Genomic DNA, 15,642 nt, shown 5'->3' with positions numbered 1-15,642 from the left:
TTTGATCAAAGCATGCTCTTGCAGCAGCACATGCACGGCCTTATCCTGCTGCCTGTGAAATGTCCAGCTAAGCTGCCCTCTCTCCTTCTGACCCTGGTTGTCACTACAACTCAGATGGGGACCCAGCTTCCAGAAAGTTCTTCTGAACCCCTAAATCTTCCCCCTGGGAAAAGACTACATCTAAAAATAGGTAGAATCATCAGTTTTCGATGGGGAGATTATATATCAATTATGCATATTTTTACTTAATTACTTTTGTTTGTTTTCCTGGTTTTCCAAAAGTTCGTGTCCATTTTACATTTGAAAAAGGAGAATATATATTTTGGCATCATCCTTGAATGGCATGAACAATCCCTTGTGAAGAAGCCCCAGCGTCCTCCCATGAGTCCGGACCACCACCAGCACCAAAGACCTTGCCGGAGAATCTGGGCTTCGAGTCAGCTGAAATGTTAAATGGGCCTTTTTGCTATTAAAACTTCCCCCCCGCTTTGACTTAAATATAGTGGTGAGTAGCGCTGGAATGAGGTTTTTGTTCACCAAAAGTTTCTCCCAGAATAGAAACTGCCCCCAGTATTTTTCTTGGGAAGTACATCTATCTGGCAATGGTCACTGTTGACATTTTAAGCTAATGCACTCTGCTATGCAAAGTTAAGCCCAAAAAGCAAAGAGCTGTTTGCCATTTTGTGTTTCTTTTTTTTTTTTTTACCCAAACTCTGCCAGCTGGGGTAAAGACACCCTTACTAGTCAAACGTGCTCAGCACTTGGACTCTTTGCTTGTAAATTCCTGACACTCCAGGCACTGCCCGGGTTGGTTTGGCATCGTGGCCTTCAAGCTGGGGCAAGTGGCCCAAAGCCTTTCTTATCCTTCTCTCTGGCACTTGCGGCCTCCAGCAAAAGAAAAATTAGGACAGTGTTCTTTGCATGAGGATAGAGTTTCACATGCTCTGGTCTCTTCAGAGGGGCACCACTCCACAGATGAAAAACAGCCAGCCAAAAATTAAGCAGCTGGCCCCTCTGTCAATCCAAGTTCTGGGGTCTGGGGCCTAAAACACAGCACCTGTTGCAAGTAAGCAGTTGCAATGGTCCTGCAGCTGTGGGTGCTGTTATGCAGCCATCTCGTAGCAACAACACAGCAGTCGTTGTCAGTCTGACACGTGAGGATGGCATAATAAATGCATTTTGTCACAGCTCCTGCTGCCCCCCAGAAAGAAACCCTGCACAATTTAACAGGATCACTACAAGTCATCATAGAGAAACACTCATTTGACTGGGTCGATTAGCCTCTTGGACACCTTTCTACTAGGTTTCTATGGTTACCATGTTCATTATTTTTGTAGAACAAAACAGCAATTCACAATCTGCAAACCACAATCTCCATCAGATGCTGCAAACCCAACCCCCAACCCTTCCTGCTTTCCTCTGGCATCAGTAACCAGGATGATAGGAAAGTGCCCTGGAATGAAATCACTAAGCATTTAGGCACTTCACATTCTCTGTCCCTGCCGGGGAGAAGCCTGCAAGCACAGAGACAGGCAGGGATCCCAGGATCAAGGGGGCTGGAGAGGGGCAAGGGGTCGATATCACACCCAAATCTTTGGTAATACTTGTATGTTCATCTTGGCTTGGGATCCAGAGTAATTATTTTTTATCCTATCTACCTCTGTTGACATTTTGGCTAGATTGCTTTTCAGATGAAAAAGTTTTATTAAAGAATTGCTTCTGGAAAATAATTTTCAAACCAGTTCTGTGCATGTCGTGATCAAATTCAGGATAACATTGCAAACAGAGACTGTGAATTCCTGAAAAGATTTGGAGTGTGTATTATTATCCGTGTCTCATCTGCCACTTGAATGCAGACGCGGAAAATCTTGGGCAGTGGCCCTTTTGTCAGAAGGAACTAAATGGTACCGCCCTGCTGGAAATGATCCCGGCGGCAGCCCCCAGGCTCACAGCTAATTCAAAACATGAAATGACACCCCAGCATCCAGAATTGCAGGGCCTGTGCTCTGCTGCCTGGGCCCTCCACCAGGTGCCCCTTTCTGTGGCCTCTGCTTTGTCAGAGACATGCTGTGTAGAGCAGGGAACAGGCAGCCTTGACATCCTTACAAAGCACTCTCCTTGGTATTGTTCCTCTTATTTTATTAATACAAACTCTCACGCCTGTAATCCCAGCACTTTGGGAGGCAGAGAAGGGCAGATCACAAAGTCAAGAGATCGAGACCATCCTGGCCAACACGGTAAAACCCTGTCTCTACTAAAAATACAAAAAAAATTAGCTGGGTGTGGTGGCACGTGCCTGTAGTCCCAGCTACTTGGGAGGCTGAGGCAGGAGAATCACTTGAACTCGGGAGGTGGAGGTTGCAGTGAGCCCAGATCACGCCACTGCACTCCAGCCTGGCGACGGAGCAAGACTCCATCTCAAAAAAAAAAAAAAAAAAAAAAAAAAAAAGACACTGAAAGGGCACTGTCTTTTTAATTAAGTTGTTCTCTCTCCCCCGTGTCTTTAGTTCTATACAGAAAAAATGTCATATTTTATTATGCTCTGAAGTCTCTGTTTTAGTTTACTCTGACAAAGCTGTTGCTCAGAGTAAAAGTCAGCAAGTCACCCAGCCATAACACACATTGTCTATACCAGCAGGGCAAAGGTGAAATAATCCAGGGATTGTCCCCAACTCTCTTCTGACATGACGGATGGTTGGCCCAGTACCTGATGGTAACAGGAGCTACGACAAGCAGGAGTACTACAAGATGAAGGGAGATTTGGGACGATGTTTGATCTTTGAAGGTCACCCTTCCTGCGTACGAGGCAGAAGTCAAGCTGACGTCTCTAAGCTCCTCTCCTGGTTTTGAGCAAGCATGTTCCAGGAAGCTGATTTGTTATTTTGGCAAGTGACTGTTTATCATGATGCATTTCGGGGGAGTTGGGGGTCAGGTTTCCTGTTGCAGGGAGTTCTGATAGTTCCTGATATTTACATACATAGGTCTTCAACTATTGATGAAAAATGTAATGTGGGAAGGTGAATTTCAACCCTATGTGGTTGAAACTCAACAAAAAGAATATATAGAGATAAAAAGCTGGGGAGAATGTAGTCTGTATATTACGAGGATTCTTTGAATCCATGCATAGAAATTTGTTGTCTCCATTTTTCTTCCACACAGAACACTTAAAATTCAAAAGTCAGGAGAGGCAACTTTGATGCTGAGAGATGAGCTCTCCATGACATCTCCCTGAAATAGTTCGGATTTATCCTGCAGCCGCAAATCAGAGTCATGCATTACTTCTTTCTGAAAAACAAATTTAAAACCACCCGTCATTCCTCATCATTTGTACAAAAATCCTTATGAAAATGATTAAAGAAGGTAATGGAAGCACAACTCCCGCGTTGGTAAGGACAGAGCAAAGACCTTCCATAAAAGCTAGTTCCCTTCTCCTCCTTTTGAAAACCAAACCAAACAAAAATATCTGGCTGAAACGACAGTGAAACAGCAGAAAATTATTTACCTTCAAAATTGCAGACAAAATAACCCCCCACACACAGTTCAAAGAAATGAACTTGTAAATATTGTGACTTATTAAAACAACAAGGCTATAATTCACTTCACCTCCAGAAAAAAATCAAAACAGCACTTGCTTAACCTCCACAAGAACCCTGAGAAGTTGGCAATGCAAAGGACAGCTCTTTCTGCAGGAGCAGCAGGGAGAGGGAGACTTCGCCTCATGCATGTTTACACAAGGCTTAAAATAGATTTTGAGTGCCTAACGCTGCTCAGCGCCTTAGTGTAACTCCAATGCCAGCCTTCCCAGCAGCCAGTGGACTCCGACCTTGATCCCTGCACCGGTGCCAGGCAAGCCCCAGGAGCATGTGCTACGGAGCCAGTCCACAGAGCTCCCTCCTCAGGGACCCGACACCAGAACTGGACCTTCATCTGGCTGTCCCCAGTCACTCCCAGCGCCTTCTCAGGCATTTTCACTTTCTGGGCAGAAGGAGAGGTGGGCTGTCTCTTCAGTCTCAATACCCAGCTGTCCCAGCCAGGCATGGAAAGTGAAAGCTTGCTGCTGAGAACCACCCCGACTTACAGGAAGGAGCCCTGAGGTTTCTGTGACCCCAGGCCCTTGACTGGAAAGTGGCTACTGAGGCTGAGTGTCTCCTAGCCCTGCCCTGGTGTGTGCCTCCCTGGGGCAGAGGGCACATCTCAGTCATGCCCCTCTCCTCGGGAGGGGGAAGGCCCCACATGGCCCAGAGGTACTGGGGGACCAGCTCAAGCTCCTTTTGCCACAACACTTTTCACCAGAAAACTCTAAGCCTGCAGGGGCTGCCCCTCAGCCAGCTCCTGTGCACAGGTCAGGAAATCAGAGCCGCTGTCAGGCAGGGCAGGCCTCAAGTCCGTGAGCATTTGCCAGGTCAGAGCCTTCTCAGAGCTGTGGCCTGCTACACCCTACCTGCTAAACCTGCATGGAACCCTGGGCTGATCCCCCTAGGTCCATTTAAAACCTGGAGCTCTACTACCAGTTCTAGCCCAGGCAGCGCCTGCCAGCCATCGCAGAACAGCTCAGCACAGCCTGGCAAGGCCAGCAAGCCACTGGGCAAACCGGTTATCTCAGCAGGGCCCAGCAACAAAACTTTCTGCCAACTCAGGTGAAAGAGAGTGAGTACATGTCTGTAATGTCTCTGTGTATGTGTGTGTACATACAACACACACATACAGACATATATATACATATATATTGAGGTATATCTGCACATATATATGAAAGTATATATTTAACAGTAAATGTCCCACAAGTACAGGAAGCTGCATAAAGCAAACATGAAGTTTAATGAAGTCCTATAAGGCAAAAATGCTTGTAACCCCCAGCACCCACTCTAGAGCCTTCCCACCCCCCTACAGAACCCCACTCCCAAATCTCTCCTCCCTCCTGGGGCACAGCTGGGCTGAGTCTTATGGCCATTAGTTCTCTAGTTTTCTTTGTCATTTTATTACCCAAGTGAGATTCATCCTCCATGGAGCATAGTGTTGCCTTTTATCTTTGGCTATGCCTGATAAGTCAGCAAGTGCCCACGCCTGAGGTAGACATGGATATACATATATGCATGTGTGCATATGCATGAGTATGAAAGCAGATGCTGTAACATGCTTAGAACAGAATCCACACTCCTCTCCCGTTCAGGCTAGTGCCCTGCTATTTGGAACGCCATTTATTGGATAAACAACAGACAAGTATAAATTAATACCATACTTTAAAAAAAAAAACTGCATGTGGTGCCTCAAGCCTGAGCCATTAGAACAATTCCCCGAGTATGAGTGTGAAGCTACTCCCAGAGCCAGGAGGCCTCCATGTGTATCTCCACCACTCCCTCTGCAGCCCCATGGGTGGTGAGCCTGGGGACCCCAGTGAAACCATCTCCAGCTCCTACCAGATTTCCAGCTTCTTGAGGAAGGAGGCCGGCAGGGCTCAGTACATTGGCCACAGAACGCAGCCGGAGAAGGAATCCAGGGTGGTCTAGGCCAACCCGTACCCCCTTGATGGGGTCGATTGCCAAATGTCTGTGAATTTCGGGACCAGTTGTTACACACAGCCATTATTAAAAATTAAAATGAATAGATTTGCAATAAAATAAATTATATTAAAATTCAAGATAATAACCCCCACATTGTGTTATTATCAGTGTTCTCTAGGCTGCGTGTCTGTTTATCTGTCTGGTGATATATGTACGTCATCGTACTTAAGGTAGTGGCTCTGCACACCCTTTCCAACTCTGTTTTTGGTGACATGGCATTAGCTTTCCATTGGCTGTCATGGGAGGATTTATACCACAGACAATGACAAATATTACAAACCAGGTGTCCCATACATAAACACAATATACATCCATCCATATGCATATACCAAGCACACATATACTTACATGCCACACTTATATGCATGCACCACACAACACACACACACCACACTACACACAATACACTGTTGGTTCCTCCCCCAAATCCTCTAAGATTAAGAACTGGAAGCCAAGCATCTTTTAAGGCGGCCTTCCCAACCTGAGACCTTGGGTGGCCTCCCAGGTCTGAGAGAAGTTGGGATGTCTCATCCCCACCACAGGGAGGTGGCTCTGGGCAGGGCCAGAACCTGATGCGGGGCTAGTGGAGGCTGCAATGTGGTCAGGGATGGCCTGAGAGGGCTCAAGGCCCTCTGAGCAGAGCCCTGCTCACACCCAGGGTCCTTCAGTCAGGCAACAGTAGCCCAAGGTTTTCTTGGGCGATCTATGTCCCTGGCAGCATCTGCCCCCTTGGAATTGCAGGTGGTCTGCAGCACCTCCACACCTGGAACCCCACGAGGAGCCTTGCCTCTGCCTTCACAGCCTGTTTTTTGAGGACAACAAGGGGGCTCTGCCTGGTGCTGGGGATAGATCAGGAAAATGCCCCTGTTCATCCATCTACCTCCTGATCTCTTTTCATCCCAGACTGGCACACAGCTCCTGGAACCCTGGGAGTTTGCTGTTTTCTGTGTGCTAATGAGATGGTGGGTGGCTGAACTCTAGACAGTTTCAGGATGGCGGCTAGTGGCCAAAAAGACCAACCATGATGCCACTTCATCCCCAACCCAGAGAGGGGGGGAGCAGCTGGAGACTGAGTCAGTCACTAATGGCTAATGATGTATCAATCACACCTACATCATGGAACCTCCACAAAATCCCCAAACAAAGGGGTTTGGGGAGCTTCCAGGGTGGTAGAAGCATCCACATGAAGTGGGGAGCTGTGCACTGAGAGGACAGGGAAACTCCACACTTGTTTCCCCAATACCTTCTCCTATGCTTCTCTTGCATTTGGCCACTCCTGAGTTTATCTTTCATAACAAAACCATAATTGTAAGTAGAGTGCTGCCCTGCATTCTGTGACTCATTCTAGCAAGGGATTAAGCCTGGGAGAAGGTCATAGGAGCCCCTGATTTCACAGCCGGATGACCCTTGGGCCTTGTGGCTGGTGTCTGCTGTGGGGCAGAGTCATAGGACAGAGCCCTTCACCTCCAGTGTTCATGGCATGAACTTGTTGGACACCCAGGTGGCGCCGGATAACTGGAGAACTGAGAATTGAGAATTGCCACTTGCAATGACACCAGACAAGTGCAAAGTCAGACAAAGTCCTGTGTCCTCTCTAAGAAGGCCAATGCCCCTAGTTATTCTTTAAGCCTGAATCCAAGGGTCTCTACTATGTCTCCTTCTTGGCTGTGGAAGACAGCCCCCTCCACCCTCCCATCCCACTCCCCGGCAGTCCCCAGAACATTTCCATGGCATTTATCACTACAGAGAGGTTTGGATAGGTCTAGGAAGTTAAGACCTCCATAGGCCAGGTGGACCTGGGCTCACCCATCCTTTTCCTGCCACCTGTGCCCCACCCACATCTCCAGAGCCCAGACCCCAGGTCTGGAGCCTCTTCTCACAAATACACCATGCCCAGCCGTCACACCTGGGACCCCATGATGCTGTATGTTTCCTGCTGTGTCTCCCAGCAGACTCTGCTCCACCACTGCCACCTGGGCAATTCGCAGCAAGTGCATCCAGACCACAGGCATTGGCAGCAGGGAGTCAGGCCCGGGGCAGAGACAAGAGCCAAATCCTGATGTTGACATGCAAAGGATGCCACACCTCCAGGGACATCCAACAGGCAGCCAGTTCCAGCCAGTTCCAGCCAGTTCCAGGGGATGAAAATACAGAGATCCTTTACCCGCCTCCACCCCCTCTCCAAGCAAAATTGCCCAGTGCTCCTTTGAAGACTCCGAGGTTGCATCTAAAATGCTTCTGGAAATTACTGTTTGAGGTGTCACCCACCTCCCACATCCAGCCCCTCACAGGCACCTCAGTTGTGCAAGAAGGAGGAAGAGCTGGGGGAAAGATTAAATAGAAGGTGTTGGCGGGAGTAGGGGGAAGATGAAATGACAGGAAGATAAACACGGGGTCCTACACCAATGAGACCCAGGGTTGGGGCTGGGTGACCACAGCCAGCCACTTGATGTCTCCAGCTCTCTTTAAAATAGAGACGGAGTGAAATCTTTCTTGTTGTGGCAACAAAGTGAGGGAGGCACGAAGAACCTCTGTGAATGTGATGAGCCCACTGAGGAGAGGCGAGACCACCAGGGCAGGCGGGGCTGTCCTCACCAGCTGGCCCCCTTGGGCCCAACACCCCCCTGCCTGCCCTTCGGCCCCTGCCTGAGGGAAAGAGGAGACCCCAAGAGCAGCCAAAGACACTGAAAATGAAACACAGAACAAAAACATCAAGACCAAAGCAGAATGGAGCAGTAGTGTGTGAGTCTACGGGGCCATCCTGAAGGGTGAGGCGGTCACTGACAGCGGGGGTACGGAGGCACAGCCGCAGTGTCAGATATCTGTGCCTTTGTCTCATCCTCTGTGAAGTGCCGATAAAACACACATTCAAAATGTGACTTCTGCCCTGTCAGTGACTCCCTAATCTGGGGAGGCAGGCTTCAAGATGCTTTCAGTCCCTGGGGATGTTTGCAGACAGAAGTAGAGAGACATTGTCCGTGGAAAGCCATAATCATCTAGTATTTGAATGTTTCCGAAAAGGCTTGTTTTCGTCTGAAATGACATAGCTGCCCCTGTCGGTTTTGTCCACCCTGTATGTCCTGTTCCTTTCATTCTGGAAACACAACAAACCGTGCGTAAACAAACGTGGGCAGCTCTCTACGCAGTGTTCTTTGAGCCTGGTTCACACTGAGCGGCTCCCACAGCTGATGCGGAGTCCGTAGCTATGGATCCTGGACAACAGGTCACATGTTCCAGGAGGATTCTAGCAAGTTCTCCCCATACCCAAGCAGCCTGTGAGGCTAATGTTCAGATGAGACGGCTCTGTGGGAGGCCACAGCCTGTGCTGTGGGAGAACTTTCCCAGGCATGCAGGGCAGGACGGATCCATGGAGCCCACCATTTATGTTTCTTAGTATTCTAACCAGATCCCTCAGAAGTCAGATGCAGAGAACACAGAAATCAACCTGTGTTTCACAGCACACTGATCCAGCTCTCTGCATAAGGCAGTGGTTTTCAGACAGGTGCATAAAGGGCTGTGCGAGTGATTGCTAGAATGCAGATTCCCGGCTCCTCCCCCAGAGATTCAGACTTGGCTACTCTGGAGTGGGGCCGTCCTCATTCATTCCCCGCTCCACCACTGACCTGCGTGTTTCTGTGTAACCTCTGTGCACCTGAGGTCTTCTGAATGAGGGGTACTGACTGGACATGGAGATACTAAGGGCCTTTTAAAAATCTATTTTCCAGGTGCTGCGATGGTTCAGTAATGTAGTATCTCAGGCCTGGTGCACAGTATGTGGTCAGGGTGCATTGCTTTTGTTAGCAAGATAAGGTGTCACATGCTTCTTGGATTCCAGGGATTCTTTCCTCTATCTGTCTACAACTGTCATCCTTACCCTGGTTATTGGATTGATCCCATACATGGATTTTGGGAGAAATCCTGTTGAGACAGTGTCCTTGCAGTTTCTGTCTCTTAGCCACAAGCCTGGCCCTCTGCCCCTCCCCGACAGTGACGAGACCTAATCTGCCCTTTGCCCTGTCAGGCCACCATCAGGAAATAATTTCACAATTCTAGTGGAACAGCAGGGGCCCCTTCACAAGACAGTTATGTAATAGAGCTCGTATTTGCAAACAGCCTGCCTCCCTAGCTGACTTAAGCAGGAAAGGAATTTATAAAATGACATTAGAAAGCTTCTATCTCAGGAGAGCTCGAGGATCACATGAAGACGCTCTGGGCCCTGGTGACACAGGTGGCTCAAGTAAGGGACACTCCCCTTTGGCCTCTGCCACTGCTGCCCTTGAATTTCCTGCTCCCCTGCAGGAGTCAGGACTCTGCCTCCCAGGGTGTCAGGCAATCTGGACTGGCAGCTTGCAGGGATCATGTGGGGTATGTACCCCAAGAAAAGTGGGGTGCTATTGCTAAAGAAAGGAGGCAGAGGTGCTGAGGCCACACACACATACACATTTGCACACTCTCATACACATGCATGCACACACACATACACAATCATACACCCCCAATCACAGACACACTCATACCCTCATGCATGTACTCATATACACACAATCACTCACTCATACTCACACACATACCCATACACACTCATGGATATACTCTCACACATTCATGGTCACACTCACATATACATACTCTTATACATATGTTCACACACTCCCTTACACACTCACACACACACACCTACACACTCATACTTATACACATGCATGCACACAGCCATGTACAATCATACACACACACTCATGGGCACATACTCATGCTCACACAATCCCACATGCACACAAACATATATACAACATACCCATACACACGAATGCATATACTCTAACACTCATGCTCACACTCACATACACACTCACGTATACACAATGACACACACACCCCATATACACATTCCTCATACACACTAATACACACACCCTTATGTACCCTCACACACAATCACATATACACAATCACACACGCACACATGCCACACACATACATACCCTTATACACACTTACACACATACACTTCCTCATAACTCACACATACCTGCTCACACACAGTCACAGATACATACACAGACACACACCTGCACATACACACATACACACGCTCACACTCATGCCCTCTCCAGCCCTTGCTGTGCTCCAGCCCTGGGCACGGCTCAGGTGCAGGCTACAGTGGATCTCCATGACTGGAAGCCGGTGGCTGAGGGCTGCGTGGAGCTGACAGTGAGGCAGCCGCTAGAGCTGAGTGTGGCCCTTGTGAGGACCAGAGGTGCCACTCGTTTCCAGGGAAGGAGAAACAGAGAGTGGAGCAGGATGGATCTGTACCACCTGCTGGCTTTCAGTAGACAAAGTAGGTCACACGACTGAGAGACTGTTGAAAGTCCCTCTGGGAAGGCAACAGTCGGAGACAGCACTTAACGGAGGAGGGGCCCTTGGGGCCCTGAGTGAGGGAGGAATTGCTGAGCAGGGACGAAGCACAGAGCCCAGCCCGCTTGGGACAATTTCAGGATTTTTCTAAGCTGTTTGTGAAAGTTGTCTATTGTTGAAAATTAAATTATACAAAGTTACAACTAAACACATTATATTAAAACTTCCAGCTTGGTGCTGACCTTGACCCGGTGTGGCATGTCAGCATCACGGCTCCTCCTCCCGACTCTGCCGTCAGTGAGGGAACTGGAATCACGGAAGTCAGCAAAGGCTACAAATTAGGACTTCTGTGCTCTTCTGGAGAGCCAGTGAGACTCCTTGATCAGCACAGCCCTGGCTGGAAGGCATATTATTGCAGGTTACCTTCAGCTGTCCCAGTCATTCCCATGGCCGGCTTGGGACCTAGGCTTTGGGCTCCCAGCTCCCTTCTCATGACTCATGGACTGGAGCCTGTTCTCATGTGGGATGGGGGCACTAACTCCCCTGCACTTCAGGCCTTCTCTGTGCAGGATCTGAGGGCTCCAGCATCCAGAGAAACCCCTCAGGCCAAGAGCCAGAGGCTATGGGCAGGGTACGGGCAGCTTCAGCTAAAAGGACCTTCTCCAGTTCAGCCTCCACCTTTCAATGTGCTTTCCCCCTTTTATCCCTTTTGTGTTCCTCCTGTGACCTGACACCATCCACAGGTACCATCCATTTACAGGACTGTTCACATCCACTCACCCCTACTTCACACATGTGACCCAACTGCCCATTGGCTCAGCTCCCTCCTGGCTGCCTCCTGCGGAGCCCTTTTCACAAAGGGAAATCTGTGCCCTGTGGTCACAGCAAAGCCAGACATCAGATTGTGCAGGTGGGATGGAAAGAATTGAGCTCAGAATTCTCTGGGGGCTTTACAGATCACAGTAGACCTGAGCACAAAGAATCCAGCACTTTCCATCAACTTCATATGCTTTTATGTCAAAATGGTCTCTAGCTGAGCACACTCCCACACTTCACTTACAGACACACCAGCATTGTAAGAAGACAGCAGACAGCTAGTGAGGGGCCAGGTGAAGGTGACGCTCCTGGCAGGGACCTGGCCAGGCTCAGTCTGCAGAGGTCAAGCACATCCTCTTTCAATGTATTTCTCTCTCATCTAAGAGCACAAGCTTAAGATCATTATTTGATTCAACCATGACTTTTCTTGCAGCCCTAGTGCAATGTGTTAACAAGCTCATTCCATTAACTAATTTTCTTCTTTTTACAAAGAAGTACAGTAGCCCAGGAGGAAAAAAAAAAAAAAAAGGATGCAGCACTTGACTCAGAGGAGCCACACTGGGCTTTCTTCCAATGCAACTGCAGGTAGCACTTTGAGAAAATAAGGCCTTTGGATAAATTTGCCTGAAACAAGTGATTCCAATTTCCCCTGTTACAGACGTGGTTCTTGACTCTCTTGGCAGGTGAGTGAGTCAGATGGGCAAATTAATCAGATGGTGAACGCCCAAGACCCAGCTCCAAATTCAACAACACCAGTTGCCCTGAAACTATCATTACATGCTACAAACCCAAACAGGCCTGAACTCCACAACCCATTCCCTGGGCAGGCACCAGTGCCAGGCGGAAAGTTTCAGGGAGTCAGCCCGTCAGAACGTGACCTCCCTGAGTCCACACACACCCAGGCGCCTCAGACACAATCATCATTATTATAAGAGCAGCAACAACAAAGCCTGCCTCTATAGGCTCTCTGCCTCCTCCAAGCTCGGACGCATATTAAATTATTAATGCTAATGGGGCCTCCCATGTTGCAGATGAGAAAACAGAGAGGTGGTGTTTTCTGAAGAGCAAATTGTCGATTGCATTACAATGATTAGAAATTGTGGCTGATATACCCCGTGACTAGACTCTGCAGTGATTTTAATATTTGAAGACTTAAACGTCTTAATTTCAAGTTAGAGGCCACTGCTAAAATTCTATGAGGACTTATATGCATGTATTACTCACTATCAAACTCCACTTGGTCCCTGATTTCAGAATGCAAGAGATCAGACGTCTGTTTAAGTGATAATCTGCTTTTTTATAGCATTGTGATATGGCAAAATCTATAGTAATTTTAACTTATTGGTATAAAGGGCAAATAATCACTAGTGATTTCATTCTGACCATGACTCTTATCAGTCATGCTGTTGTTGCCAAATAAACCCAGGCATTGGCTATTTGCTCCAATCAGTACTCATTTCCTTTCTTCTCCTGCATTCAGATCCAATCTTTCCACTTTCTACTTTGCCTTTCATTCTGTCTTTGTTTTGTCTTTTGACTTTCTAAGCTTGTATCCTTTATAACCTATACTCCATGGAAATAAGAACAGGTCTAAGCAGGAGATGCTGATGTGGAGATTCTGAAAGAGACTTTTAAGCCTCTTCCACACTCTATCTTCTTGGTTCACAGAAACCTTTGTTAGTCTGGAAAGTGGTCCCCGTCTCCCACAGGAAAACACTTACACACAAGTGAACAGGAGGACAAGGAGAGGCCCCCCTCTGAGGGTGGGCATCCCCTTTCTTCATGCCCACCTGCCTTCAGGAGAGGCCCTTTGTGGTTCAAGAGCCTCTTTCCCCAAGAGTGACAGGAAGGAGGGCAGGGAACGAGGAGAATTTGGAAACATGGAGGCAGAGGGGTTGGCCTGGAGACTGGGGATATCCCTGATTCTGGGAAGGGGTGTGAGTCTGGGGGAGCCTCTTGGGGAGGTCGAGGTCAGTGCTGGAACTCATAGGACCCCAAGGGGAGAGACATGGCTGCCTTGTACACCCAGAGGGCTGGACTGGGCTGCCCAGGCTGCAGACCCAGACAAAGACTTCCGTGCCCACATCAAACCCGGAAGCTCTGTCTCCCTCTGCATGGGCATCTTAGCAGCCATCCTGATGGGCCAAATACCATAGTCCCTTACTGTGTTTCCTGGGCACGGTGTCAGGCCCAGAGGTACACATGGGAGCCAGCTGCACATGCTGAGACTGAATTTCTTACCAGTCAGCTTAGTGGGACTTATAAATATGTTTTTTTGTCATTTAGAAAAATAATGTGACATTTCTTGCTTTTGAGTACAGTGGAATGTTTTAACTAGGATCAAATTCAACTACATGGAACTAGAGTGACCTGATAGCAGCTTAAAGAAGAGAGGGATTATTTTTGTCTCATATAAAGAAGTCCAGGCCTGGTGGCTCAAGCCTGTAATCCCAGCACTTTGGGAGGCTGAGGCGGGTGGATCACATAAGGTCAGGAGTTCAAGACCAGCCTGGCCAACATGGTGAAACCCCGTCTCTACTAATAATACAAAAAAGTTAGCCAGGTATGGTGGCGGGTGCCTGTAATCCCAGCTGCTCAGGAGGCTGAGGCAGGAGAATCACTTGAATCTGGGAGGCAGAGATTGCAGTGAACCGAGATTGCACCATTGCATTCCAGCCTGGGCGACAAGAGCTAAACTCCATCTCCAGAAAAAAAAAGAAAGAAAGAAAGAAAGAAAGAAAGAAAGAAAGAAAGAAAGAAAGAAAGAAAGAAAGAAAGAAAGAAAGAAAGAAAGAAAGAGAAAGAAAGAAAGAAGGAAGTCCAAAGAAGGAAGTCCCAGGTTCCTTCTAAAGTTCTTTCACCATCCTCAGCGAGTTACTTCTGACCTCAAGACTACTTCATGGACTGCTGAAGCCTAAGCCATCATGTCTGCATTCCAGACAGGAAGAAAGATAAAGGCGAGAGGACTAAGGGGAATGTGCCAGTTGCCTTTCCCTCTTTTAAGAGGCTTTCCTGGAAGCCTCAGCCAACATCTGCTACTTAAATCTCAGTGGCCAGAATTTAGCACAGTCACAAGTGTCTGCAATGGGGGCTGAGAAATTTGAATTTTGTAGCTGGACTCATTGTTATTTCAATAAAACAAGGGTTCTGTGGCTAAGGAAGAAAAAAAGAGATAGGTACTAGATGGACAAATGACACTCTGCCCACAAAATTAAAATTAACATTCATATGTGTACGTACAAGTCTATTGGCCTCAGAAGAAAACCTCCTTACTTAGTGATGGATAGTTCTTCATTACCTTACTTTATTTTTATTTCAGAACTACTTGAATTATGGTGGTATTACAGAAAAGATTCATAACATTTACTTAGCTATTGATAGTGGAAATGACTTACACTACTCATCAAAAATATCTCCAGGATTCTGTGTTGTCCTCAGTGAAGAGAAGTTGTCCTCTAAACTAGCACGGGGCCAGCAGCAGACAGCAAGACCAGGATACATTTTGTATCAAATATAAAAAAGAAGATGCTTTCAATTCCTGACATGCTTTGAGGTGGTGTGTCAGTCCTATACTTAAACCATGATAGGAGTAATATTCTGATTCAAAAATAGAATTGAGTGAGAAAAGGAAGACAGGTTTTACTCAAGTAGTTAGATAAGATTTCAAAGAGAAAAAAAATGAGAAGAAAAATATTAAAGAGAATATTTTTGCCCAAGTGAATATTTAGAAGTGAAGTTAGTTTAACTGTGACAGAGCAACAGGGGCTCAGTCATTATGTCCTTGAGGGGGAAGGGAGCAGGGAGGTTGAGGGAAGCCCCCAGGCAGAGCGCTCCCCAGAGGGTTGGTGGTGGAAGGGAGCAGGAGGTGGTGTGAGCCACTGGGAAGGCTTGGCTGCCACCCTCTCAC

The 15,642-nt window shown here is 47.7% G+C and overlaps 4 annotated features.

The window, feature by feature from the left end:
• Nucleotides 3,972-4,061: an enhancer, noted in NCBI's record as "active region_28566". NCBI's record gives its function as "activates an Ori minimal core promoter by ATAC-STARR-seq in GM12878 lymphoblastoid cells {active_cell/tissue: GM12878}" and the evidence as "EXISTENCE:reporter gene assay evidence [ECO:0000049][PMID:35858748]".
• Nucleotides 4,112-4,161: an enhancer, noted in NCBI's record as "active region_28565". NCBI's record gives its function as "activates an Ori minimal core promoter by ATAC-STARR-seq in GM12878 lymphoblastoid cells {active_cell/tissue: GM12878}" and the evidence as "EXISTENCE:reporter gene assay evidence [ECO:0000049][PMID:35858748]".
• Nucleotides 4,172-4,241: an enhancer, noted in NCBI's record as "active region_28564". NCBI's record gives its function as "activates an Ori minimal core promoter by ATAC-STARR-seq in GM12878 lymphoblastoid cells {active_cell/tissue: GM12878}" and the evidence as "EXISTENCE:reporter gene assay evidence [ECO:0000049][PMID:35858748]".
• Nucleotides 4,282-4,451: an enhancer, noted in NCBI's record as "active region_28563". NCBI's record gives its function as "activates an Ori minimal core promoter by ATAC-STARR-seq in GM12878 lymphoblastoid cells {active_cell/tissue: GM12878}" and the evidence as "EXISTENCE:reporter gene assay evidence [ECO:0000049][PMID:35858748]".

This window comes from Homo sapiens, chromosome 9 (assembly GCF_000001405.40).
Source record: "Homo sapiens chromosome 9, GRCh38.p14 Primary Assembly".
NCBI lineage: Eukaryota > Metazoa > Chordata > Mammalia > Primates > Hominidae > Homo > Homo sapiens.
The sequence above is the reverse complement of the archived record's forward strand: the minus strand, read 5'-3'. Positions and strand labels throughout refer to the sequence as shown.